Source organism: Homo sapiens, chromosome 15, assembly GCF_000001405.40.
Source record: "Homo sapiens chromosome 15, GRCh38.p14 Primary Assembly".
NCBI classification, from domain to species: Eukaryota; Metazoa; Chordata; class Mammalia; order Primates; family Hominidae; genus Homo; species Homo sapiens.
The window spans coordinates 63,317,333-63,344,790 of NC_000015.10; the positions used below are offsets into that span (position 1 = coordinate 63,317,333).

Sequence of the window (27,458 nt, forward strand, 5' to 3'; positions counted from 1 at the left end):
GCATTCTATTTTACAGAGATACTATAATTTGGTTAGTCACTCTTCTTTTGATGGACACATAGCATTCTGTACATACTGCTCTTCTGTACAGCGGGGCTGGCAATTTCTGTTTGTGTTTCGGGAAAAGCTCTCTCAAACTGTGTTTTTCCTCTGCTCTCATACCACCACAGTAATATCAACGCAGAAGAAGACTTCCATGACCAGAGGTGTAGGTTTTTTCACCACACACCAAGCAGCAGACGCGGGCTGGGTGCCCTCCAATTCCAACATGATCTACCTGGAGATAGTGTCAGATCCCACAGGGTGGGAGTTCAGTCACCTGAGTCTATCTAACCTGCCCCCTTTGTTTCTTCTCTCTCTCTCTTTCTTTCTTTTGATGGAGTCTTGCTCTGTTGCCCAGGCTGGAGTGCAGTGGCACAACCTCAGCTCATGGCAACCTCCACCTCCCGGGTTCAAGCAATTCTGCCTCAGCCTCCTGAGTAGCTGGGACTACAGGCGCCCACCACCACGCCCGGCTAATTTTTGTATTTTTAGTAGAGATGGGATTTCACCATCTTTCCCAGGCTGGTCTCAAACTCCTGATCTCAGGTCATCCGCCCGCCTGGGCCTCCCAAAGTGCTGGGATTACAGGCGTGAGCCACCGTGCCCAGCCCCTGCCCCCTTTTTTTCTTTCCTCTTTTCCAGTAATTCAGTCGTTGTATCTAAATTATGCTTGAATCCCGACCACTTAATCTGTGTTTAGCAGACAGGAGTAGTTCATTAAATCTTTACTTTTGAATAAGGAGGTATGAGAAAAAGTTAGTTGGAAGTTAGTTTGAATAATAGAAGGGGGTTAATCCAGATTTTGTCCATTGATTAAAAAGGAGTGATAAGCTCCTGGGCTGCACTGCTTAGTGGCTGTGTGCTCCTCCATGGAAAGGATGTACCATATTCAGGAACACTTTTCAAATGGTTATGTGTTGAGTGGTTGAGGGGAGACACTAGATGCATGAGATCTGTTGTTGGATATCCAGGTAGCTTCGGAAACTAGTTTCAGCATATGAAGGAACTGGTTATGTTACCTATGTCACTAGAAAGTTCTTTGCTTCTTCCAGAGAAAGCCATTTGACTATGTCATCATCAACAAAGTTGCTATATAGGTCTCAGTCTGCCCTTGACCCCATGGGCCCTGTGTTTTGTTGTCTTCATTGCTGGTCATTAAAAGTTAATATTTGAAATGAGTGAACCCAAGCAGAAATAATGACTTTGACTTACAATACTGAGAGGTCATAGCCAACCATGCGAATAGAGCATGCTCCTTTCTGGCCTCCCACCCACAGGGCGAGTCCAAGGGAAGTATGGACTCGCCCTATGGGTGGGAGCCCAGGAAGGTGCATTAGACCAGCCTTTGCTGAGCTTCTTCTCTAGAGGGACCAGGAGGAGGTAAGCTCTCAGTGGAAATTCCAGGATGGGACTGAGTATCGTTTGGCTGTGTGTGGGATGGAGGTGGTGGTGGGAGGGACTTCTTTTTTTTTTTTTTTTTTTAACAGATTTTTTGAGGTATAATTGACATAAGATAAATGGCACATATTTAAAATATAACATTAGAATCATGTTCACATATGTGGAGAAACCATCACTGCAATCAAGATAATGAACATATGGATCACCTTAACCATTTCTTATACACTTTTGTAATCCCTCCATTCCCCACCCCACCTCATCCCTAGGTGAGGCAATCTGCTTTCTGTCATTAGCACTGATCTGCTTTCTGTCATTAGACTGTACAGCATTAAGAAATTTGTATTAAATGGAATACAGTCATGTGCCACATAACATTTTAGTCAATGATGTATGGCATATACAACAGTGTTCCCATAGATTATAATGAAGCTGAAAAATTCCTATTGCCTAGTTACATCATAGCCATCGTAAAATCCTAGTGCAGTGCGTTACTCAGATGTTTGTGGTGATGCTGATGTAAACAAACCTACCACACTGCCAGTTATATAAAAGTATATAGCATATACAATTATGTTATATACTATAAATGTATATGCTGTACAATTATATAGCATAATTGTATATGCTATATACTTTTATATGCTAAAACGACTCTGTTATGGTTTATGAATTTACTACACTGTACTTTTTATTGGTATTTTAGAGTGTATTCCTACTTAGAAAAAAAAAGTTAACCCTAAAACAGCCTCACGCAGGTCCTTCAGGAGGTATTCCAGAAGGCGTTGCTATTCATAGATGACAGCTCCGTGCATGTTATTGTCCCTGAAGACCTTCCAGTGGGACAAGATGTGGAGGTGGAAGACAGTGATACTGATGATCCTGACCCTGTGTAGGCCTAGGCTAATATGCATATTTGTGTCTTAGTTTTAAACAAAAAAGTTTAAAAAAAAATTTAAAGGCTTATAGAAAAAGGATATAAAGACAGAAAATAACTTGTACGGCTGTACAGTATGTTTGTTTAAAGCTAGGTGCTATTATAAGAGTCCAAAAGTTAAAAAAATTGAAAGTTTATGAAGTAAAAATGTTAGAGTAAATTTATTATTGAAGAAAGAAAAGTTTTCAATCAATGTGTAGCATAAGTGTACAGCATTTTTTAGAGTCTACAGTAGTGTATAGTAATGTCCTAGGCCTCATACTCCCTCCACTCACTCACTCACCCAGAGCAACTTCCAGTCCTGCAAGCTCCATTCATGGTGGACCATTTTTAATCTTTATAACATTTTTACTGTAATTTTTCTATGTTTAGATACACCAATACCATTGTGTTACAATGGCCTATAGTATTCAGTACAGTAACATGTTGTACAGCTTTGTAGCCTAGGAGCAATAGGCTGTACCATCTAGCCTAGGTGTGTAGCAGGCTGTACTATGCAGGTTTGTTCACACGACGATGAAATCTAATGATGAATTTCCCAGAATGTATCCCTGTTGTTAAGGGATACATTGTTAAGCGGTGTGTGACTATATGTATATATATATATATATATATATGCACTATATAGAGAGACACACTATTTTGTGTGTGTCTCTGTGAGTGTGTGTGTGTGTGTGTGTTTATTCCTTCTCTCCAGTTCAGCCTTAGGAAAAGGGAAAGCTTGTGAACGTGTCCTCGGGAACTTGGTTTGCTGAATTAACAGGTGAAGGTAACATCTCAAGAGCTCAGTAGACCCTTCTGCCCAAATGCAGTTGGCAGTCCTTGGTCAGGCTTCACCTGAGTGGAGGCCAGGGATTAGAGCTACCAAGCAGATTGCAGGTGGGAGGTTGTGGTTGACTTTTTGGAAGTCATTAGTACAAATGCTTTTAGTGCCTTTAGCCCCTGGGGTTTTACAAGGTCACCGCGTGATTGGGATAAGCACGGTAAACTCTACGACCAGAAGGTGTTTCCATGCCACGTGATTGGGATAAGCACGGTAAACTCTAAGACCAGAAGGTGTTTCCATGCCACGTGATTGGGATAAGCACGGTAAACTCTACAACCAGAAGGTGTTTCCATGCCACGTGATTGGGATAAGCACGGTAAACTCTAAGACCAGAAGGTGTTTCCATGCCACGTGATTGGGATAAGCACGGTAAACTCTAAGACCAGAAGGTGTTTCCATGCCACGTGATTGGGATAAGCACGGTAAACTCTAAGACCAGAAGGTGTTTCCATGCCACGTGATTGGGATAAGCACGGTAAACTCTACAACCAGAAGGTGTTTCCATGCCACGTGATTGGGATAAGCACGGTAAACTCTAAGACCAGAAGGTGTTTCCATGCCACGTGATTGGGATAAGCACGGTAAACTCTACAACCAGAAGGTGTTTCCATGTCACTGGGGCTGTGGAGTGTGGCCCTAGCACTGTCACTAAAAATCCGAGGGCTGTGGGAGCTCTGGGAGCTTGGCTTAGCCAGAGCCACCTCCTCTTTCCCACTTGGAGGCTAGGGGCAATCCTGCGCCTGACCCTGGGTTGTGCAATGGAGTGAAGGGGACTTAGGGCGGTCAAGAGCCAGAGGCATTGCCGAATTCCTGGGTGGCTTGCAGTCATCATGATACGCTGACCTGGTTGCAATCATTTTTATGGTGAATTATTCAATACAGCAAAGTAATCTGGCCCTTATCTCTGCCCAGTCATTCTATAATGAAGAGGCACGGGGTGGAGCCCGGGGACACCCTCGGTGGCATTGTCGGGCCACATACCTTTCCCCTCACATCCTGCGACAGCTGAATCCGAGCCCGAGGACCACGTGCGGGGCGGTCTCCAGTGTGGATGGCAGCCCGGCTGGAACGCACTGGCAGGTGGTCCCTGTGCCCCAGAGGCCCCGTTTCCTTCCGGAAGCGAGGCTGCAACTGCTCCAGATACCCAGCAGGAAGGCCACGTGACAACGGGAGGGGCACTCCTGTGTGTGTAGGGGCGAGGGGGTGGCGGTGCCAGGGTCCTGCAGTTCACCAGGTGCCCACGTGCCTGCCACCCGAGCGCCATTCACTCCCGACCGCGGGGACCTGGGGCACAGCCGGGCCCACTGCGGCGAGGCGAGGAGATGTGGGGAGAGGAAGAGCGGCGTCCACGATGTGCTCATTTAGGCTTGATTTTCCTCCTGCCCTCCTGTCTCCCTCCCTGGCTTCACCCACAAGGCTTTCTTCTCGGGCTGATTTCTGTGGGAGCTCTCTAGGCAGAACCCTCAGTCTCTGAAAGTCGGGTTCGTCGTCCGGGTCTGCGCAGGGCATGGATCTTGAGCGCTTGGAATGTGACTTAACTGAGAAACGCTACTTTATTTTAATAAGTTTACATCTAAAAGCCGATCATTGATTCCATTATTTGGAAAACAACTTCTAAGTGTGTTTGGAGCAACTCGGATATTGGAATCTTTTAAACTGTAAATTTTATGAAATCTAAATAACGACCAAATATCTACAAGGAAAATCTAGCATCTGAATCGAGTGTGCTGTCAGTGTAAAACACACACCAGATTTCAAAGATTTACTGCAGAAAAAAACACATGAAAATACTGGTTACATGTGGAAATGATAGTATTTTAGATCTGTTGGATTATCTAAAATTAAATTTAAATTAATGTCACTGGTTTTTTTTTTTTTACCTTTTTCTAGTGTGGCTACCGGAAAGTTTAAATTTCATACGTGTCTCATGTTATATTTTATTACATTTCTCTCGGCCTGTGTGCTCTAGATGGTTGATTTGGCTGGATTGAGATGAGGTGATGGCCATCCTAAAGGAGGGCCTGAGTTCCCTCTGCCGACCTATGGCTCTCACTGCTATGCCTCCCTGATCATTCAGCCAGTGGATGTGGAATTCAGGGAGATGAGAGATGCTCATTTCCTGCTCCAGGAGTGCTCTCCCCAGTGGGGTGGGAGCAAGTCCAAGGAGTGAGTGCTTCGTGGGAACTCTGGCTTCCCGGCTGTCTTCATGCCTGTGCGTGGCCATGACACCTGGCAGGATGCCAGAGCAGGGAGAGCAGAAGCATCCTGTGTTCTAGCAGAGTACAGACCATCAGAAATGTTTCAATTCCAAAGCTGGGCCAGGTACTGTCACCCACTGGAGCCAAAGTACCCTTGAACAGTTCACCTCTCTCAGGCTTAGGGTGATTATAGTGAAAATTGGATGCTTTTCTAAATAAGGCAAACAATGATGGTACCTATTTTATAACCTTTACTGGACTGCCTCTTTTTGCCCCAGTCAGAATGTGAAGTCTGGATTTAGACAAAAGATTATTTGGACGGGTGATAGTATGTTTTGCAAAAAGAATTCAAAATAAGGTAACAGGCAACCAAGAGGGGCTGCCCACCTACTAGGTTTAATACTCTCAGGAGTAAAGAGACATAGGACCTGTTCCCTGTATCATGTCCCCTTGGTTGGGAACACCTCCCTCTTTTCCATCCATCTGTTCAAATCTGAGCTATTTGTTCAAGGTGCAGCTCCGATCCCACCTCCTCCAGGGTCTTTATTTAATTCCTCTAGGCTTCCCAGCACCATTAAGCAGCTTCGCGACCTGCAGCCACACATGCCATAGGCCTCCATCCTCAGGAAAGTGATTGAGTCTATCAGCTTATTTTCCTTTGGAGCCAGGTTCTAAGAAGTGGATGCGAGTGACATTATTATTCTGATTAGTTACCTATCCCCATAACAGGGAGCTACAGAGTGCTTTGCAAATAGTAATGCTTTAACCTCGCCTCCAAAAAAAAAAAAAGAACAGCCTGATGTGAAAAACATTTATAATTTCTTGTAGTTACAGTGTGTATCTTCATTATAATCATTCTTACAATAAATACAGAAGTGCTAAACAGACCATTATCACAGTGGCCTGTGGGCTGAGGCACAGGAACTGAGGGGTGCTGCAGACACCAGTGCTTCTCCAGGGCTGGCCAGGACACCTTCAGAGAGGCTAGTGAAGAGGAGAGGAATGTAGGGTGAATTTGAAATGTGATTAATAGAGTCAATGCAGCACATGCTAGAAACAGATACAGAGTTTTTTGTTGTTTTTTAACTATTTTACCAGATGATACTAACTAAACAAACAGAACAAAGAAAGAGATTCAAGATCTCACATGAGTGAGAATCCAGGGCCTTCCCCTCTGGCCCTGGCCCCAGCCTGGGCCTTGTTTTTGCTATTTCCACCTAGGCATCTGCCATGCAGCAGAGTTAGGAGCGTGTGGGCGGCTGCTGAGACTCACACACCACAGTACTGGCATCCTTCAGGGGCAGCTGGCATCAGTGGAATGAGTGCGGATCCGAAGAAAGGTTTCCCAGTTCCAAAGCTGGACCCACAGGAATCCTGTGAGGATTTGCAAAGACATTGATAGTGTTGGTTCTTGGAGCATCTTTCTGCCTCCCGGGCTTTGTCTGGTCTCAGCCTCGGGGCTGCAATCCAGGGCTGTGCTGAGCAGCAAGAGGAGAGGAGAAATGCCACTGTCTTGCACCTCCCAGTAAGTCTCCCTTTTCATGAACAGCCCTTGTGCCAGGTACAATGGTCTCTCTGTTCTCTCACAAAACTCATCCACAAAAGATATACAGAGTCTTTTGACAGACAGTCCCACTGCTCTGGAGTCCTTTATGTTCATTTCTGATTGACAATTTTGGACCAAGGCCAAGAGGCCCCCTAATTCATGTTGCTTCGTCATGAGGGTTGTCCTTGTCATCTGATGATGCATGAGGCATGCTAATGGCAAGGCCGGGATGCCACCCCAGGCTTCGAGGCTGTTAGAGGTCTTGAGTGCACACACACACACAAACACACAGAGAGACACACACACATTTGAGCTCCCATTAGGTCACTTGTAACTTTGCCTAGCAAAACAGGCTCCCAAGACATAAGGCTTGCCATCGTTGTGAAAAGTTGTGATGGTACAGAATAATTTTTTTTTTTTTTTTTTTGAGATGGAGTCTCGCTCTGTCACCCAGGCTAGAGTGCAGTGGCATGACCTTGGCTTACTGCAACCTCCGCCTCCTGGGTTCAAGCGATTCCAGAAGAGAGAATTCTTAGAGTCAGAGGGAGGAGTAGAAGGAAAAAGATATTTAAAAAGCTATGCTTCAAGAGGACATTTCATGCTGTCAAAATGAGACTGTGAATCAGAAAGTTCTCGGGGAACTGCAAGGTGCTCTCAACTAGGGGTCGGTTCCTTCTCAGTCATGGCACTGACTCATCTCCACAGGGTTCTCACCTGCGGGAGGAAAATGGAGGAGTTGCGCCTGTCAGAAACTGTCTGTGTGATTCGGGGAAGAATATGGAGTATCTTAGTAGCATTCCATTATTACTTGCCCCTAAATACATGATGCCAGCCCCCTGCACAGATAACCTCCTGCTTTTATAGCTTGAAATATATTTGATCTAAACCACGATTTGACATCTTCAGAGAGAGAGAAGTAGATAAAAGTCTCCATTCCAGGTTGGCAGTAGGGATCCTGCAGAAGTGGCTGAAATGAAATTTGGCCTACAGAGAATAAGTTCTACAGTCATTTTGTTTCTGCCTATTTCCTCCAGATTCAAAGGCAGATTGGGTCATCTCGGAACTCATGTCTCCTCCAGGACACAGCAACAACACATTTTCAAGGAACAGCCTCATTATTTGTAAAATCTGTAGAGTATAAAACATAACTGCTCCACTGACAGGAGGTTGGATTTGGACTTAATATTGTATTATTCTGTCCTTACATTATGGCTTGATAAACAGAATGTGATTCCAATTCTGATTCCAAAGTGAGACTCTCCCAGATCATCCATGTCTTCTCATTCTCTTTGTCCCTCTAGCTCTCTCTCCCTTCTCATCCCCACCAAGAAGTGGAACTTGAACCTGCCATTCCCTAAGGTCTGTGCAGTGTCTGTGATCCAGAGGACAGGACTGTGAAAGTGTCCCTAATATATCACAATGTATATCTCTTGTTTTCTTTTTCTCTCTACAACTTGATCCTTCCTGTCCCCATTTGTCCCCGAGTTGTAAGGTGCAGATTAAAGGTTTTGTCATAGCAGAAGGAAATCAGAGGGAGATGCCCCGTCTCCAGAGGAAAGAAGTTGAGTTTCCCAAGCAAAACCTAAGCAGAGAGTGCACATTCTTGTCTGAAAGCTTGGAGAAGCAGCAGAATTTCCAGGACACTTGAAAGCACGCTCTGGCAAAGCCCCGGATGAAAGTGTTTTCCAACCATTAATGGCCCACCAGCATGGCTTGGTTTGTGATTCCAGAATTCAGACCACTTCACAATCTCACACAGTTACAGCAAGCAGCTTTGAATTCCTGCTGCTTGGTCTGAGAGTGCATCCCATCCATCGATCGGATGGCTCTGGGGTGGCCATGGTCCCAAGGCAAGGAGGCACCCAGCAGAGGATCCCTGAGGCCTGGCATGTTTGCAGATTGAGCTACAGAGAACACCTTGAGGTGTCGCAAGTGTCCAGAGAGCCGAAGTGTGTAGGGTCCAAAGCAAGGTCCTTCCTGGATGTGCCCGGGAGCTCCGGGGACCTCAAGCGTGGGCCTCAGTCTCCATCTTGGTGGCTGGCTTGTAAATGACTCCCTTGTTATCACCTTTTTTGATACTAGAACAGAAAGAACACATAACTCTTGTTAGAGAGGAGAGCGAGCGAGCCAGAGAGCAGCCTGACTCAGGTATGGAATGAGGCCGTTTTTAAAAGTTGGATTCCTCTCTTTGGGACCTTTCCCCAATTCTGTTGGTCTTGGGAGGGAGTGTCACCAAATAAAGCTTTAACAAAAACAGAACTTGTTCGTTTTCCAACTGTTCTCTTTCACACCTAACAGTAGTAGACCTATATTTTGAAAGAGGTCTCGTTGTCACCCCCCTCTTCAAACCTCTGATTCCATAACAGGGTTCCCAGAAACCTTTTTATTTTTCATACCCCCCCCAAATAAATTAGGTTTTAGGAAAAGCCAAATGTCACAATAAAAACATGGACAAAGGGCATGAAGAGTTAATGTGAGTGAGAGATCAGGTTTTCCTTCATCTTTCTTTTTGAATTCATAGACCAAAAAGCATATGTAAAGATCTTGATAAGAAGACAGCCTGGCTGCTTAACTTCAGGCACAAGCCCCAAGTCAAGAGACTCGTCCAAGGCCATGCAATAGCAGCAAGCAAGGCACACACGCTTCCAAATCTGAGCACAGTGACCCCTGAACCCTTTGAACGACCAGGGTCACATGTGCGTCTCATGCAAAGGAGGCCAGGGCACGGGTGCTTTGGGGACGGCCCTCCTAGGGTAAGTGGTGGTCCAGGTGACTGCGGCTCTTCATGCCACAAAGCTGCCTTCCCAGGCAGACTAATCATCATGGACACATAGCTGTCCATTCCCATTTTGGACCCAAACCAGCTCACCTCTTCCTTCTGAAAAGCCAAATGGACACCACCACCACAATACAGATGCCAAGAATGCCAGCCAGGGCCAGTGAGAGGATGATGCCTGGTGAAGAGGTAGAGGGCACACATTACATTCCTTCCTTCCCCTCCATCTTAGCCCATGGCCCCCGGGTGTGAAATCATGGCCCAGCTGCATAATCATCCACAGAAAGGAATAATTTCCCCATCCCTGTTCTCAGATTCTGGTCTTTGGCTTAGTGGGACTGGCTGGAGTATTTTGAGGTGGCCGTTTGCAAATTCTAGTGGTTTTCCAGCAGATGCTCTCAAACTTACACAAGGGTCATCTGAAGAGCTTGTTTAAAATGTAGGGTTTTTTTTTTTTTTTTAGCCCAACCCCCAGAGATTCAAAGTCAATCTGTTTGGTGCAGGGCCCGGGAATCTGCATTTTGCCAAATACTTACAGCTGATACTGATGCACGTGGTCCAAGAACCACACTTTGATAAGCCCTGGGCTACACAAATAAGAACTTACTCTGTCTTTGCCTGCTGGATTTAAGGCCCATTGGCTGTCTCCATCAGTTTTGCCCCCAAGTTCCATTGCACAGTCCTAAGCAGTCCCAGATGACCAGTAGTCCATTGCCAAGGTCATGCGGCCTGTCAGCTGACCTCCACAATGGGCTCTGGTATGTTTTCAGCAACAGCCTCCCACCATGACCAAAAGAAAGTCTTAGATAGGTTCTTTGAATACACACATGCTGTAGAGTGATTGGATCTTTCATTAGAGGAACATTTGATTGGCAGTTCATCTTTGAATCACAGAGCGACTTGAGGGTAAGACCCATAGCAAGGAGAGGGCCAGGAGCCAGAGCAATAGTACAGAGAAGCAGAGAGGACGGGCTTGGATCACACCAAGAATCACAGTGATCACCCAGCTGCAGCATGCACGGCTGGCTGCCCAGCCACATACCCAGACTCAGTCCTGCCGCAGTACAGACTTGCACTTAAAAGGGGAGAGGAAAAGACGAGGTTACTCTAGAGTCAAACCACACTGGATTTGAGCAGCGTGTTGAGAGACGCTCTACCATTTGTTTGGTCTTAGGCTGACAGACCTCTAGGGATGTCCACCCTTGGCTCAGGGATTGCCTGATGAAGTACAGGAAATTGCCCATCTAGGGAATTCATACTGCAATCCCTCCTTCCGATGCTCCTTTTTTTTTTTTTTTTGAGATGGAATCTCGCTCTGCCGCCCAGGCTGGAATGCAGTGGTGCGATCTTGGCTCACTTCAACCTCCGCCTCCTGGGTTCAAGCAATTCTCTGCCTCAGTCTCCCAAGTAGCTGGGATTACAAGCACCTGCCACCACACCCAGCTAATTTTTGGATTTTTAGTAGAGACAGGGTTTCACCATCTTGGCCAGGCTGGTCTTGAACTCCTGACCTCATTATCCACCTGCCTTGGCCTTCCAAAGTGTTGGGATTATAGGCGTGAGCCCCTGCGCCCGGCCCCGATGCTCCTTTATCACAACAGTTTCCTGGCTAGGGCAAGACTTCACTTGAGTTTTTGTTTGTTTGTTTGTTTGTGTTTTTTTTGAGACAGAGTCTCGCTCTGTCACACATGCTGGAGTGCAGTGGCACAATCTTGGCTCACTGCAACCTCCACCTCCTGGGTTCAAGCAATTCTCATGCCTCAGCCTCCCGAGCAGCTGGGACTGCAGGCGTGCACCACAACGCTTGGCTAATTTTTGTATTTTTAGTAGAGATGGGGTTTTGCCATGTTGACCAGGCTGGTCTCGAACTCCTGATCTCAAGTGATCCACCTGCCTCGGCCTCCCAAACTATGGGGATTACAGGTGTGAGCCACGGCGCCCAGCCAAGATTTCAGTTTTTAATACAACATGGCCAAAGAGGAAAGATGAAGAAAGGTAGGGATCAAAGCCTGCTTGGGCAGGCTCCTGTCCATGTCCCTGGTACCTGCCTCACTTCCTAAGCAAGGAATCCATCACCAGACTTCTCCCCCAGCCCATCAGCTTGTCATCATGGTTTGGTTCTATTTTTGCTTTGTCCCTCCTGGACAAACGCCTTCACCACATCAGCCCCACTTCTCTGCTCCATGGAACCAGGGTATTACGGCTTCAACCAGCAAGTTACTGTTGAGGATAAATAAGGTGAGAGAGAAGTCCTCAGTGTGGCTGAACCCGTGCCCAGCTACCTAAGTCTCACAGTCAGCCTACTAGCCACCTCCTGGGGGGAAAATCACATGAGAATCCATTGTCTTGAGTGAGCAGAGGATCCCAGTCATGAAGTCTCCCCTGAAAACCCTCAGCCTGTTTTTTCCAAGGTTCCCACAGCCATTCCCCATTCTCCTAATCAGGTCCTTTGTCTAAAGAAAGTGTAGATTTACAGGTACCCTTCTGTCTGGTGGTTTTCTCATCTCAATGGAAACTTCTAGCATGTGTGTGTGTCTTGGAGGAAGAAGGGGTATTTGTTCTAACTCACACTGGGAGCCACAGTTGTACAGATGGTGGCCACCCAGCCTGACACAGAAGATCCTGTGCCCATAGAACCCACAGTGGTGGCTGAGGCCCTGGGAGAGCCCTGGTCAAGTGTAAGATGCCAGCAGGGGGCCAAGGACTCTCCCTTGGGGCCCTTAACAGCCTGGGGAACCAGATCTGAGGCTGCAGGGTGAGGTTTTGCTCACTGCCCCTTCTCCTGTCGTATGGCCCAAGTCTAGCTGATTCCCCAGGAGCCATCAGCCGTGTGCTTTTCCGATTGTCTTTTTCTGCAATCTCACATTGAACCTGCAGAGCCTCCCTGGTCCAAGGCTGGGCCCTGGGGGTTCCTGGTCTGGCTTCCCCAGGTGGCACCGGGCTGCTGTGAGGGTTAGCAGAGCAGGCAGGGAGAAGAGCTGTCCCCAAGGACAGGGAAGCCTATTCTCCCTACTCTGCTCACCACCACCAGCTGCTCATGACCTCCCAAGTGGCAGAGTGGCTCCACTGGCCAGACTCCCTGCCCCAGGCCTCTTCGTGTAACCTGAACACAAGGACCAGCCTGTGGCTTGGGGAGGTACTGAGGACATGAGTCTCCACCTGGAGGGAGCTTCCAGTGTTTGTACAGCACAAGCTCTGTTTCCTGCAGGGCCTGTGGCCTCTGCACAGTGGAACTTGGTATTAGGGTTGGTTGTTTCTTTTTTAAATGTAACCAGAGACCATGGTCCCTGGAATCTTAAAAAAACAAACATAATAAACCTAGCCATGGTTTTTCTTCCCAACCCTTTGATGAAATACACTCTCGTTCTTTGTTCCTGAAGCTCCAGATGCTTGTGGTGCCAAACCAGTTCTCGCCACCTGAAGACTATTACTAGGAAGCCTTACCACCTGGCTAAGCCATCCAGGCTGGATGGTTTCTAAAGTCATCTCTTTCACAGTCACCTCAAACATTCTGAGAGTCACACAGGCCCCAGACCACTGAGCAGCCCAGTCTGTGGCTGGTGGGGGTACCCTTCATGCCTGGTCTTGGGGAGCTGAGCAAAGTCTATGGAGAGCAAGGCCCCAGCAAGGGTGGGGCTTTTCTCAGGGCACATGCCCTGCGTGGTGGCTTCTCTGGAGGGAGAGTCTGGCTTCCCCCGGTTATTACGCGGGGTTCCTGTTGGAGGTCCTGTAAGCAACAGCATAGTTGAACCCAGTGCTGTGACCTGGGATCTTTGCTCCTTGAGGACCACTTGTCAAGGCCTAAATGGACTCTCCTTGGAAACAACGAAATGAGACCAAACAGGCATGAAGACAAAGAAAGGCCCAGAGACTGGGACAGATACTTTTCAGCCAAGACTTTGATACAGCAAAAACGAAGCAGCTTGACTGAGCCAACATCATAAGCTGTTAAGGAAGAGGAATGCCGGCGAGGGTGTCACCCGATAGTTCCACCACCTCAGGAAGCCCAGGGCAGGAAGGTGTTGTTGGAATGCTGTCCCTGCCAATCGAGACAGCACCAACCATCATGGAGGCTCAGCTTCTTTGCAGAAATGGGCTTGAGTCCCATTGGAGGCAGATGCCAAAACATCTGTTATCTGATGGGAGAGAGAAAGTCAGCGAGACTTTCGGGACACAGGGAGAACTGTCAGGGCAACCAGAGAACTAGAACCTGAGTGCGAAGCCAAAGCCTGTTTCCCAGCAGAGCCTCGGCTGGGTGAGAGCGAAGCCTCTAGGCACTGTAGAGAACAGGCATCAAAGATGGTACAGGGAGGGGCAGAACTAGAGAAATTCACTTTCAGGTTAAAGAAATGGTTTGTTTCTGAATAGGAAAGAAGGGAGGCGATTCCCACGGAAGAACAATGGGACAGACAGTAGAAATGGAGACAGGCTAGGTCACAGAGGTGGCCCACGAGAGGCATCGAGTGGCAGCCCAACAGAAGGAGCTCTGGGGCTGGCTGGTAAGAGGGTGCACACCATGAGGACGTGGGAGAGCCGCCTGTTCACAAAGTGCTCGGGTATGACTCAGGGCGAGCAGAGAGACGGCAGTGTGACACACACAAGGAAACCACACAGATATAGAAGAACTCGATGGTCACACACCTTGCCCAGGAAGGTACAGACACCCGGAGAAGGTCGGTGAGCTGCTTGCCACAAGGGCCTTGCTACCTGTTCTGGCAGGCCCAGGAGCTGCGTCTTCCACCGGCATCTTGCTGGACTGAGGGATGCTGGTTAAGGGCTTTTGAGGTCTTCTGAAGCCTCAAGCATAAACACAGAAGAGTCCAGCACGAGGAACAAGCACCTCACTTTCACATCTGGAGGTTCCTGGAACAACAGTCTAGTATTTTCTAGCTCTATTTACGATTCTGTTTGACTGTGGACTATAATCCTTTTCAAGTATTATTTTAAAGTACACACTGTTTACATAGATGGCATGTTACGTAGCGATATCCTTAGCCGTCTCCAGCCTTGTAAAAGAGGTCAGAGAGTTTAGATTTATCAGGGGTTTGATAGTTTAAATACACAAAATCTGTTAGGAAGGTAAAAAGCCCCTTATTATTACACCTAATAAAAAATCAGAGAGTCAAGAAACTGCAAATCCAGTGCTATCTTCAGATGATGCTTTGCCAAGACAAGGAAGATGCCCTCACCACAGAGTGGAGCCATCTTCAGAGGACATATTTAACTGCGGAGTTTTCCTTATGAACGCTATGCAACCCAAAACAAGAATTGCTACAAAGAAATCTGCCAACAAGATAGTACCAGATTACATGGGGGAACTGGTTTTATACAGCTATGATGGGACTGAGGGCTTTGCCTGTAGATTACAGGAATGCAGCCCCTGCAGACAGCACGTTGCTCTGAAGGGCCTAAATCCCAGAGCCTCAGGGGCAGGTTACAATGCTGGCACTTGGTGCTTGGCACTCTAAGCTGTCTTCACTGTCCCTGGGGAAAGAATGGGTGGTGGGACGGGGGCCTTTGATCCCTATCAAGCCAGAGCTACAGAAGGCACAACAGCATCTCTAGGCAACTTCCTCCCAGACCTTCAAAACTGACAGCTAAGTTCTGATCGTTAATCTCTCTTAAACAAATGGTTGATTTTTAACATTGTTAGCAAATGGAGACCACAGAAAAACAAGACAATAAAACGAAAAGGTGACAACTGGCCAGGCTTATGTGTAAATCATTCTGCAGAGAAGACACTGAGGAGGGGAGGGAACTGGAGATGGGTCAGGGACATTCTTTCAACAAGCTTATATTGAGCACCAGGCACCATGCCAGGCATAAAAATGAGTAACACGTCAGTCATCCCTGGCCTTAAGGAGCTTGTAGTATGTGTATAATATGTACGTATTGTTCTTTTTCTATTCGTCTTTGCTGTGTGGTAATAATTACTCTATGGTGTGTCAAGTAACATAACAGAGATGGAGACGTGGTTCTGGCTGCACTGAGGGAGATTAAGTCACCTTTAGAGGGATGGGGAGGACTTCCAGGAGGACGTGATTAGAGTTGGGTCTTGAAAGAATTTTCCAGATGGAGGAGGGAGGGGGCATCCCAGACATCAAGTGTGTGTACTTGAAAGCATCTGCCCTACAGTTTTGGGGGCTGAGGCTAAGAGGGCAGGGATGGGGCTGTGGGGAGATGATGTGGAAGGATCGGCTAGGGCCCCATCACCAAGGGTGGGTCCAGCCGTCTGCCCAGCCCCTTTTCCCATTGTCTTTCCTGAACATAGTCTGCCCTGTGCCACGGGCTGTGTTTAAGAGCAAGATGACACCCACCATGGGGTTTTCTGTCCCCCATAGCGCATAACTCGGACTGTGCTCGGGAAACATGTGGTGTGTGAAAGGCACTAGGACCTCACTTCTTAGCACCTTGGACCAATGCTCCTGACTGTTCGGCCTCTGACCCAGACCAGCGACTGAAGGTGGAAATGATGCTGGCTAATCATTTGGATCCTTTGGGAGAATCGATGATATTCTTTCAGCTAATAGCTTTTACTTATAAATGGAAACTTTAAGAAATACAAGGTCAATAATGATAACACATGCATTCTAGCCTCAAAAAATTAGATAATTAGCCATCTTAGCCATGTCTGATTTCCTTCTCCCTCCTTTTAAGGTTTCATAAAATTGCCCAGGTCTAGGCTTAAGCAGATCCTAATTGCAGGACTATAGATTTGCCCTTGCGGTTTGCTGCCTGGCACCCTTGTCTGAGTGTGCCATAGCTGCTCTGGTGGGTGACATGCAGTTGCTTAGAGCAAGCCCACTAATGATGTGATTATAGAAACTTCTTGGCTTCCTTTTGTCCCTCAAGTTTCCATGGCCCTGACATGTTGAGCACAGGGCTAGATGGTGTTAGCATTTTTGTCTGATGGGCTCTTGCTTCATTACCCAGCATCTGGGCCCAGTGTTGGTGCCACTGGCTAGGAGGAGGTGAACTCAAAGGAACCAAGAACCAGGCCAAAGCCCTAAGCCTGAGCCCCTGTGATGTCCCCCTGCCTCTGCCGTCTTTCCCCTTTCCCACTAAGAGCACCTGACTTGAAACCCGAACTGGCCTGAGGACGTGTCCCCTCCCAGGGGCCCACCTTGAGGACGAGTCTTGCTTTCTCCTTCAGCTCAAATCTTCCAACTGCCACTTGGAAGAGGCACTTTTTTTTTTTTTTTTTTTTTTTTTTTTTTTCAGATGGAGTATCACTCTGTCGCCCAGGCTGGAGTGCACTGGTGCAATCTTGGCTCACTGCAACCTCTGCCTTCTGGGTTCAAGTGATTCTCCTGCCTCAGCCTCCACAGTAGATGGGACTACTGGCATGCACCACCATGCCTGGCTGATTTTTTTTTTTTTAAGTAGAGAGGGGGTTTCACCATGTTGGCCAGGCTGGTCTCGAACTCCCAACCTCAGGTGATCCACCTGCCTTGGCCTCCCAAAATGCTGGGATTACAGGCATGAGCCACACCCAGCCAATGGAAGAGGCACTTTTTAAGAATGGAAAAAAGTGCCTGACATGACTTTCACTTTTCCATAAAGAGTGGACGTTTTAACTAAAGGCAACAAGAAACATAACATACAAGAGAGAAAAACTCATACAAAAGGGAGAGAGAAAAAGAATAAAGGGGGGATCCTGAAGAAGTTGCTACTTCAGAGGCATCTGCACCCCTGATAAAGGATTTGTACACTCCTAAGGGTGCACAGTTCTCTCTCACGCTACGTCTCTTGGTCTTACCCAATCATATAAAAAAGAATCTATACTTGAATTCTAAAGGAAGATGGGGAACAAGGTCTCTCTTGGGTTGGTTTGTTCTGCCTCAGTAACTTCAGCCTTACTGTTTCAGGGATAACCATCATCACACTGAAATGTTCATGCCATAAAACAATGAAGACCAGGGCATGTGATATAAAACTCCAGACTCCTATGACATCAGTGAAAACAATGAGTTCTGGGCCGCAGAAACCCTGGGGCAGTGGTTTTCCATCAGGGGAAAACTTGCCCCTCCTGCCTGCACAGAGTTGGCAATGTCTGGAAACAGTTTTGCCTGTTAAAACTGGGGAGGGGCAACTGGCATCTACTGGGTAGAGACCAACGGTGCTGCCAATGCTACAACACACAGGACACCCCCCACTGTAAGAATTATCCTGCCTAAGTTGTCAGTAGTGCTAAGGTTGAGAAACTCTGCCCCCAGGCTAAGGTGTAGCTGGACTATAAACCTCTTAAGGACAGAAATCAGGTCCTGTACCCCTTTTCTAAGCACAGTTGAGGAAAATAGCAGGGTTAAGTTAAATGATTCGGTCCAAATTGTCCCAACCTGGCTAAACTTCAGATCCTTCCCCAAAGTCCATGTACTTTCTCTCATAGGGAATTTTTTTTTAATTTTTAAATTTTAATTATTTAAGAGACAGGGTCTCACTCTGTCACCCAAGCTGGAGTGCAGTGGTGTGATCATGGCTCACTGCAGCCTCAAACTCTTGGGCTAATGTGATCCTCCCACCTCAGCCTCCCAAAGTGCTGGGATTACAAGCATGAGCCACCACACCCGGCCATCCTAGATGATTTTTTAAACATCACTTTTCTCCTGGCAGAATTTTCTGACTCTGTAGTTCTTGTTAACTTCCAGAGAAAGCCCTGAGTAAGCCAGACCCTAATTACAAACATGCCTCAGTGGATGAGGCTACAATTTGAGTCCAAACTGCTCAAGGTTCACACTGACAAAGTCTCACACCGTAAACCTGAAACATCATGTTACAGTCTGAGGCCTGCTCCGAGCTGGGTAAGAAAGGCCTCGTGAATGCAGCCCCCTGGGCAGATGAGGTTTGGGCCTTCACCCCTTTGGGACTGCCTCCTCATTGCTCCTTGGGAAGCAGCCGCACTTGCTGCCTGTGTCTTTGGGAAGTGAAAGGGAGGGGAGGAGAATTCTGGCCAAGCTTCTATAATCAGCCTCCAGATGGACAGGTTTTCCTTGGACTGCCACAGAGTCTCACTCAGAGGAGAAAGCTGGTCCCAACCTGGGCTTGTGGAAGCACCAGCTCTGGGCAAACCGTGGAGGAAGAGCAGTGGCAACGCTGCATTTGGGCTTTGATCTTGACGTCCTAAGCTGGGAGATGGTCTCCAGACTTCTGCTTAGAGGCCCCTCAAGCTCCCCTATCCAGACTGGGAGAATCTACTGAAGCGCTTGGCTAAAAACCTGCCTACGCTGCCCCACTACAAGCAGCTGCTTAGACACAAGCCGGTCTAAGAAGATGGCTAATTATCCCCAATGCCATAGTCCATCGTTACAAGCGGGGGTTACTTTTGGATGTCAGAGTCAAGCTCCTGCCCGGTTTCTTCTGATCCTCTGTAACTGCCCTCAAACACTGTCCCTGCAATGTAAAGTCAGGATTGGCAGTTGTTAGTGTCCACTTAACCATCACAACATATTAGCACCGAAAGGACATGAGATCACCTAATCCAACCTGGCTTTTTTTTTTTTTTTTTTTTTTTTTGAGACAGAGTCTCACTCTGTCACCCAGGCTGGAGTGCAGTGGCATGATCTTGGCTCACTGCAACCTCCACCTCCCGGGTTCAAGCGATTCTCCTGCCTCAGCTTCCTGAGTAGCTGGGATTACCTGGCATTTTGTGGCTGAGGAAACCAAGGCCTGAAGAAGGGACACGATTTGTCCACAGCCTGCAGCCAGGAGGAAGCAAAGCCAGGCCTTGAACCTAGGCCTCCTGACTGTAAGGAGAATATGTGCCACCCCTTCCCTGGGTGTGCATAGGTGAGCTCAGAGAACAGAGCCGGCAATGGGGTCCTGGGATCGCGAGCAAAATTCTATCTGATCTATGTGGGCAAAGTTCCTAATCTCCTGGCAGAGTTTTTATGTTTTTGGTTTTAAGAGTTGAAGTAGTTCCATTTAACCCTTGGATACTACATTCTCCACTTAGAAGAATGAGAAAAGACAGCGTTGTATCCATAACAGATACATTCCATGCACTCAGTTCATTTCCTAGAAAAGAAACTGTTAGTTATCATCACATGGATTTTGAATTTTCAGGAAGGCTACTGTTCACAGATTCTGTTTTCCAACTGAGAAACTGAGGAAAGAGGGAAATGATCTTAATTAGTTGTACCTGGAGAGGAGAAAACACAAAAGACAAATTCTTGGGCAGTTCTTCATGAAAAGACAGAGAATGATGTAATCCTGACCGTAAGGATGGGTCAGTTTCTAAAGCTTCCTGGAAAGGGCCTTCAAATACAGTCTCCATATGTTCAACTAAGTTTAGGAGGTGATCGTTATAACCTCATATAATAAGAAAGGAACCCAAAAAAGTGCACCAGGTGAGACGAGGAGAGCAGATTCTGACAAGTGGGTTAACGGGTTTCTTTTGTTTTTGTTTTTTGGTTTTTTTTTGAGACGGAGTCTCGCCCTGTCACCCAGGCTAGAGTGCAGTGGTGTGATCTCGGCTCATTGCAACCTCTGCCTCCTGGGTTCAAGCGATTCTCCTGCCTCAGCCTCTTGAGTAGCTGGGATTACAGGCATGTGCCACCACGCCCGGCTAATTTTTGTATTTTTAGTAGAGACGTGGTTTCACCATGTTGGTCCGGCTGGTCTCGAAATCCTGACCTCATGATCCACCCACCTCGGCCTCCCAAAGGAGGCAAGACACCGTGCCCGGCTAATTTTTGTATTTTTAGTAGAGATGGGGTTTCACCATGTTGGTCAGGCTGGACTTGAACTCCTGACCTCAGGTGATCCGCTTGCCTTGGCCTCCCAAAGTGCTGGGATTGCAGGTGAGAACGGGTTATCTTTAAATATGAACGCCAGGCCCGGTTTGGTCCACACGTGATGCTGGGGATGAAATGGAACTGCACAGACCAGCCATGAAGATTCCCAAGCTGGGAAGCAGTCGAGAATCTACAGTAAGAAAGTGAGCTTGAAAGTGAACTCAGAGGTCTGAAGAGGGGTGTGGGCCCCAAAAGTGCTCCCTCACCCCTTTCCCCTGATGCCCAGTTTCCAGCAGTGTTGATGTAGGCACTGAGCAAGGAAAACGGTTAATGTTCTACTGGGGAGTTATTGGTTACAGCTGTGAAAGGGAGACCCGAGCCCTTGTAGCATTAGGAAGAAACCAAGCTATTAAGTTTTGTTCAATTGGGAACTTATGTGCTTGTGCTTATGCAAGCTCCAAGGAGGTTAGACAAAAATGCAGTGCACAAGGGTGCTTCCTTGCCTAACAGGCCCTGCTACATTAGACATGGTTGTGGGTTACACTCACTGTTTTACATCTAACATAGGAACATTCTTGCTCATTTGGTGGTGGTGCATGAATCACCTGGCCAGGCCTAAGATAGGCTGGCTGCAGCCTTTGATGCCAAGAAAGCCTAGGGAGGGAAGTTAGAAGTCTGATCTCATGGAAAGGGTCCTATCCTGTGTCTTAGAGAAGGGATCATTGTCTGGAACAGAGAAGTCCCCAGGGAATTCTCTCTTACCCATCTGTGCAAGACTCCCAGGCTTAAAGAGTGCTCTGGTCCATGTGCCTGGGGGCCTCGGCTTTTTGCTTCTCTGCAAAGACTCACTGAAGGGGGGACCCCAGTGAGCCCCACACCTAGTCTCACAAGGCGCCTGGTTCCCGTGGCAGCCAGGGAGCTCTCAGCCAACTTCTTGAGGGCATCAGTGCCAGAGCTGCATTCACAGAAGATCCCAATGTCTTGGCACCACACTCCCGCACCCCCTCCCCCCAGCACTGCCTCTCCTCACCTTGGGAGAAGGAGGTGTATACCAGCCTCTCATCGAACTTCTGGACCTGCCGGAAGTTGTTGATCATTTCTCTGGGGGAAGGGTCGTCCATGTGTGTGCAGTACAGGGCTGTCTCCAAAGCCAGCAGCTGAGGGCAAGAGCAGAAATAGCCCGCAGGCAGAATGACCTCCTCACCTGATCCCCTGGGAAGAGGCTAGCTCTCCGCTCTTGCACCTGGGAGAAGCCTCTGGAACCAGCTTCTGTGGGGCCGGGTGGGAGATATTAGAAAGCAGAGGGAAAGCCACAGAACTGCTTCCCTCCACAGTGGGTGAGTGGGAGCTGGGCAGCGCTGGGTTTATCTTCCCAGCACCCGAGACTTCAGGGAAAGGCAGTGCTGTTAGTTTCCAATTATACCTGGAATCTGCCCTGCGTGGAGGGAAACCTGGGGTGATGGAGTGCTCCTTAACCTCCACAGAGACTGAGTTCCTCTCATGAACTTAAATTAGAGGCCAGCTCTCAACCAGAGGGTCGCAGGGCTTGTTCTGATGGTCATATCAGAAGGAATAAAGGAGGGAGTTAAGAGTTTCACAGGCCATCTGATTGCGGGTTCCATGGCATTTTCATGCACCTGCATAGATTATATAACCCTTTCCCAAGGCAGTTTCTGAGGTAGGATGTTGCTGCTTCCCCACATGTTTCATCCATCTCTTGGTTCATCATGTCCTCATTCCTGTCCACCCACCTGCTGCCATTTACCAGGTGACTCAGAGCAGAAGCTTACTGTAAAGAGGAGCAGCTGTGAGGCTGCCCTGGACGCATGAAGCTGGCGTGGGGCTGTGAGCCAGGGTGTAGTGCTGGCCCCAGCCCCGTCTCCTGGGGAGCCATTTTTCTTCTCATGAATTTAGGCTGTGGAGGACAGGTATGAGCAGTGACATGGAACTCAGATGACCTAACTTTGGGTCTCAGCTTTGTCACTAACCCGCGGGTGATCCCACAGACTTCTACTCTTCTCTCTCATCTCCTATCAAATAAGAAGCTTTAGAGGTGATGGCTAAGGATTTTGTTCCCCAGTTTGCACTAGACCTTGAGCTTCTTGGGGGCAGGGACCCTCACTTAGTCATTGCTGCAATCCCATCTCTTAAATGATTTCATCTGATCCTGTCTTTATTCTGCCCTGTAAAGGAACCAGGCTCTCTCCTGCCTGGGAAGTGAATACCACCCAGCCACTGAGGATATATTAGCAAATGCAGATTTAGAGCTCTTTTTTTTAAAAAAGAACTAGGAGACATCTATTCATTTGCCTAGCTTGACTTCTTTTGAAGCTCAGCCTGGAATTTCTGCGGTGCTTTCAGACACCTGTGATATTTGGAGAGGTTTTGAAGAGCTGCCAATGAAACTAAATGAGGAAATCAAGTCATTGATTGTGATATGGAGGATGATGGGGACTGAGGTGCCGCGTGGACTCTGGCTGAGTCTGGCACGACAGTTACCTGCTCCTGGGAAATTTGCACGGGGTTTCGGAAAACTGTCCAGAGCACAGTGGGGTTGCAAGGGGGTGTGGTCAGGGACCCCCGGTAGCGGTAATATTCAGCGGTCCTCTCCGGAAGCAGCTCTTCAATGTTGAATCCCGGGACGAATGCTTCCTGGCCTAGAGAGACATGTTGCAGAGGTGATAGTGTCAGCCTCCCTCCGTAGGGCATAAGTGCAGCTGAACAGAGCGACTGAGCCTAGAAACATGAACTAGCCCCTTTCAGGGTCATCTAACCCCAGGACCTGGTTGCAACATTGTTCAACAACCTGCTGCTCTTAACCTGGTGAACACAGACAGCACCTGCCCCTTGTGTTTGCTTTTCTTAAAGTCACACAGGGCTGACTACCTCCTTCTCCAGCAGAGAGTGAATATGCATGCAAGGACCCCTCACCTTTGTACTTTACATGTTGAAGGTGACTGAAGATCTTGTCATAGGACGGATTGAAGGAGCCCATCTGCAACAGAGACAGGGCAGGTTAAACTGGGACAGAACAGGATAGGCTGAGCCAGGATTGACGATTGCTATCAGAAGGGCAAAGCTGTGGGTATGTTGCCACCACTGCCTGAAGGATCCACTTTACTGGACAATTATGATGGATCACTAGGCTCTTGGGAGTTAGTGTAATGGTCCTGCCTCTTGCATCTCAGGACGTCCTGTTTTCAGCTTAAGGAGTTGGGCTTGAATGTCCTGGGGCATAGGGTACCGTGTGTGCTCTTGATGATCCAGATATGAGCCTGAAGGCTTTGACTAACATCCATGTCACACAGAACTTAAGGAGCTCTGAGTTCACAAAAGCCACGTCAGACAAATGAGCATGTTGGGAAATGAGGTACATACAGCCTCATTAGGAAAAAAAAACATGCAAGCCAATCAGAAGACATTCCTCTATCTTGGGATAAAAAAAGAATTCATTCCAGGGTACATATAGAGCAGGGGTGCCCAGCCCCCAGGCTGTGGACCAGTACCGGTCTGTGGCCTGTTAGGAACTGGGCCGCACAGCAGGAGGTGAGCAGCGGGCAAGCAAGCATTACAGCCTGAGCTCCGCCCCCTGTCAAATCAGCAGAGGCCTCCCATTCTCATAGGAGCACAAGCCCTATTGTGAACTGCGCATGCAAGGGATCTAGGCTGTGTATTCCTTACGGAATCTAACTAATGCTTGATGATCTGAGGTGGAACAGTTTCATCCCAAAACCATCTCCCTCCCTGGTCCATGGTCCGTGGAAAAATTGTCTTCTATGAAACTGGTCCCTGGTGCCAAAAAGGTTGGGGACCACTGATCTAGAGGTCCCTTGGATCTAGAGGAGCTTGGATGGCAGGAGTTGTATCAAGAGTTCAGGCATCTGATGGGGCAGATGGAGTTTGATGATCCCTTTCCAGCACAGGTCCTCCCCAACTGGGCAATTCCATGCCTTATGCAACAGGGCTAGATGTTGGGGCCCGTTTTTCCAACGGACCAAAGAACATTCCCCATTTCTGCTGCCCAGGCACAGAAAGTGCTGCCTCCAGGCCAAGAGAGAAGGTGCACTACAGGAGGATACCCCCTGCTCTGGAGTTGACACGGAGTCGATACAGGAACAGCTGATTATCAACAGGTATGCATGGAACAAAAGGTGGAATCCCAATCTCATCCCTGCTTCAAATTTCACCTAAGAACCTTTTAAATATCTCTTACCTCAATGAGAACAGCCAGGACAGCGAGGCCTTCTGACTTGTTGCTGGCAGTGCTGGCGTCAGGATAAAGGTCTGAGTTATAATGGACAATGTGCAGCTGCAGTGGGGGAGAAGCCACCCATTAGGAGATAAGCGACTCATGGGAGCCTGTCGCTTCTGCAGAAGACTTGACTCCAACTGTGAGGACAGAACCCCAGCCCCCTCAGCCCCCCAGACTAGGTTAGGTCTCTCAGACCCTCCCCTTATTTTGCCAAGGATAAGGACATGTGCCCAAGGTGGTCAGGGCATGGCTTGTTTTGATACATTTTAGAGACATAATACATCAATCAATACGTACAAGATACACTGGTTTGATCTGGAAGGGCAGGAAAACTCAAATTGGAGGCTTCCAGGACATAGGTAGATTTAACTTTTTTCTGACTGGCAATCGGTTGAGAGTTATCATCAATAGAAAGGAATGTCTGGGTTCCAATAAGGGGTTGTAGAGACCAAGATTTTATCATGCAGAGGAAGAATACAAGTAGCAGGCTTCAGAGAGAATAGACTGTAAATATTTCTGATCAGACCTAAGGTCTGTGTTGATGTTAATGAATGTGGGCTTTTCCTAAATTCCAAAAGGGAGGAGGGTATAATGGGTCATGTCCAACTCCCTCTTCCCATCATGGCCTGAACTAGTTTTCATGTTAACTTTGGAATGCCCTTGGTCAAGAGGAGAGGTCCATTCAGATGGCAGGTGGGTGGGGTGGGGGGCTTAGAATTTATTTTTGGTTTACACAACCCATGCATTTTTGCTGGTTCTTTGTCCTTGAGACTATGACATATTGAGATTTTAACTCTATTTCTTTTCTCTTTTCATTCATCCTTTTCCATCTCATGTGTTTATAAATACAGTTCAACATATGTTATTGAATACAGCTTAATTTTCCCATTTCGAACTTTAAGTGGCTCCTTCTAACTTAAAAAAAATTATATATCAAATTATTTCTTCTTTTAAGTGGTCCTCTATTAAGGATTTCTTCAGAGCTCCTACTTCACCATCTTCCCCTCAAAGGACTTAGTCTGCCACACTGCCCACACCATCTCGGCCTGGCATCACTTTGAGAAACAGAGCTGAATTCTATATGATTAAAACCCCTGAGGTCCTAAGCCCCTATTTCCTTTTACAGCTGACCTTTGAGCTTGTGGTTTGTCTGTACTTTTCTTATTGTGCTCAGAGGAAGTGAAGACTAATCCAAGCATAAAGGAGCTCCCTGTTGAGGAGATTAAGATAGAAAGAATCTTTTTTTTTTTTTTTTTTTTTAATGGAGTTTCGCTCTTGTTGCCCAGGCTGGAGTGCAATGGCGTGATCTTGGCTCACCGCAACCTCCGCCTCCCAGGTTCAAGCGATTCCCCTGCCTCAGCCTCCCGAGTAGCTAGGATTACAGGCATGTGCCACCAAGCCCGGCTAATTTTGCATTTTTAGTAGAGATGGGGTTTCACCATGTTGGTCAGGCTGGTCTCGAACTCCTGACCTCCGGTGATCCACCCGTCTCAGCCTCCCAAAGTGCTGGGATTATAGGTGTGAGCCAACATGCCCCACCAGAATCTTCTTATATGAACTCCATCCCAAAGAACCACTACACTTCCAAGGTCCTTCCTTAGAGGACCCACTTTAGGGACACCCTGATGCCTTTTCTCTAGTATTGGCATTTATGGTCCATCTTAACCAGACTCTTGGTCTGATGCTGTGACTTAATAGCAGAAAATACAAGAAGTAGAAATATTTTAAAACACATAAACCCTGCCAATCTACACCCTAACCTCCTTTGTGAAAGGAAAATAAATCTCGAGACCCCCAAATCACTAAGCCAAAGAGAAAAGTCAAGCTGGGAGCTGCCTCCCATTCTATTCCTAAATAAGACGGCTACAAAGATAAAAAAGCAACACACCTCACATTTTGCCCACTAGGAAATTCACTGTGGGCCGCAAGGTCTTTACCCTAAAACAGTTCTGTTGAATTTCACCGTGACAATGTAAATGGATAACTTATCTTCATGGGTTCAGGACAAAGGATAGAACTCAAAGTCATCCCTCTGCTCACCTGAGACAAATGCATTTCTAATTGCTTCCTCTGCCCATGTCTGTTTTATTTTGTAAGAATGCAGATTCGCTGAGCTAGATGAATGCACAAGTGACTATTCCTCTACCCCTCTCTCACATGTGAACGGCTGATCAAAAACTCAGAAGAATGCGACCTCTTGCCTCTTACCTCCCCACACCTTTTAAACATTTCTCCCTCTTTCCCCAGTGTCTGCCCTTTCCCCTTTAAATATTGAAGCCCTCAAAATCATCTTTGTAGAAAGGCACAGACTTGTCTCCCTGTCTCCCGGGCATGTGTCCTTAACCTTGGCAAAATAAACTTCTAAATGGATTGAGTCTCAGACACTTTTTGGTTTACACCTTCTTTATTCCCCATGGGGGAAGCAGAAGTCTCAACACTGCAATTAGCCTGGAGGAAATTTCAGTTCTTGAGCTTCAGGGAAGGGCCGCTCTGAAATATGTGAACCTCCAGTGGTACCATCCTATTGAACCAGATCCTATCCCTTCCATGCTTGCAAGTAGACCTATGATTAGTCTGAAACATTAAGCAGTTCAGCAGTTATGACTGGAGGGGAATGGTCTCTATTTACCACGGACTCCCCTGGCTGATCAGTCAGCAGCATTTATCTGCTTGTATTTCCCTGTAAATATTCAGAGCCACACCCCCAGTTCAGGGCTATTGGAGTGCCAAAATGGAGCATCTCAACCCCC

At 47.5% G+C, this 27,458-nt stretch overlaps 1 protein-coding gene and 2 long non-coding RNA genes across 6 annotated transcripts in view, besides 1 other annotated feature; 2 read left to right on the forward strand and 1 right to left on the reverse strand.

The window, feature by feature from the left end:
• The first annotated feature begins 655 nt into the window (after positions 1-655).
• LOC124903506 (uncharacterized) lies at positions 656-27,078 on the forward strand. The gene is made up of 3 exons (XR_007064676.1): positions 656-1,422; positions 24,482-24,589; positions 26,806-27,078. It is a non-coding gene; the product is annotated as an uncharacterized LOC124903506 (long non-coding RNA).
• On the forward strand, positions 2,374-5,064 carry LOC124903505 (uncharacterized). Its single transcript, XR_007064675.1, has 2 exons — positions 2,374-3,698; positions 3,805-5,064. It is a non-coding gene; the product is annotated as an uncharacterized LOC124903505 (long non-coding RNA).
• Positions 4,046-27,458, reverse strand: part of CA12 (carbonic anhydrase 12) — a 60,469-nt gene continuing 37,056 nt past the window's right edge. For 3 of the 4 annotated variants that reach the window (NR_135511.2, NM_001293642.2, NM_206925.3), the window contains 6 exons: positions 24,670-24,765; positions 23,388-23,451; positions 22,956-23,113; positions 21,487-21,613; positions 9,817-9,901; positions 4,046-9,025 (listed from right to left, as the gene is read on the reverse strand). Coding sequence is in view for 3 of the 4 variants with exons in the window: in NM_001293642.2 (NP_001280571.1) it covers positions 8,953-9,025; positions 9,817-9,901; positions 21,487-21,613; positions 22,956-23,113; positions 23,388-23,451; positions 24,670-24,765 (603 nt within the window). In the remaining variant the exon portion in view is untranslated. Of the gene's footprint in view, positions 9,026-9,816; positions 9,902-10,765; positions 10,799-21,486; positions 21,614-22,955; positions 23,114-23,387; positions 23,452-24,669; positions 24,766-27,458 lie in introns of all 4 variants that reach the window. The other variant, NM_001218.5, reaches the window with a different exon arrangement.
• Positions 20,897-21,793: an enhancer, noted in NCBI's record as "H3K4me1 hESC enhancer chr15:63630428-63631324 (GRCh37/hg19 assembly coordinates)". NCBI's record gives its function as "activates a minimal SCP1, AML or CMV promoter by ChIP-STARR-seq in primed H9 embryonic stem cells {active_cell/tissue: H9 hESC(primed)}" and the evidence as "EXISTENCE:reporter gene assay evidence [ECO:0000049][PMID:30033119]".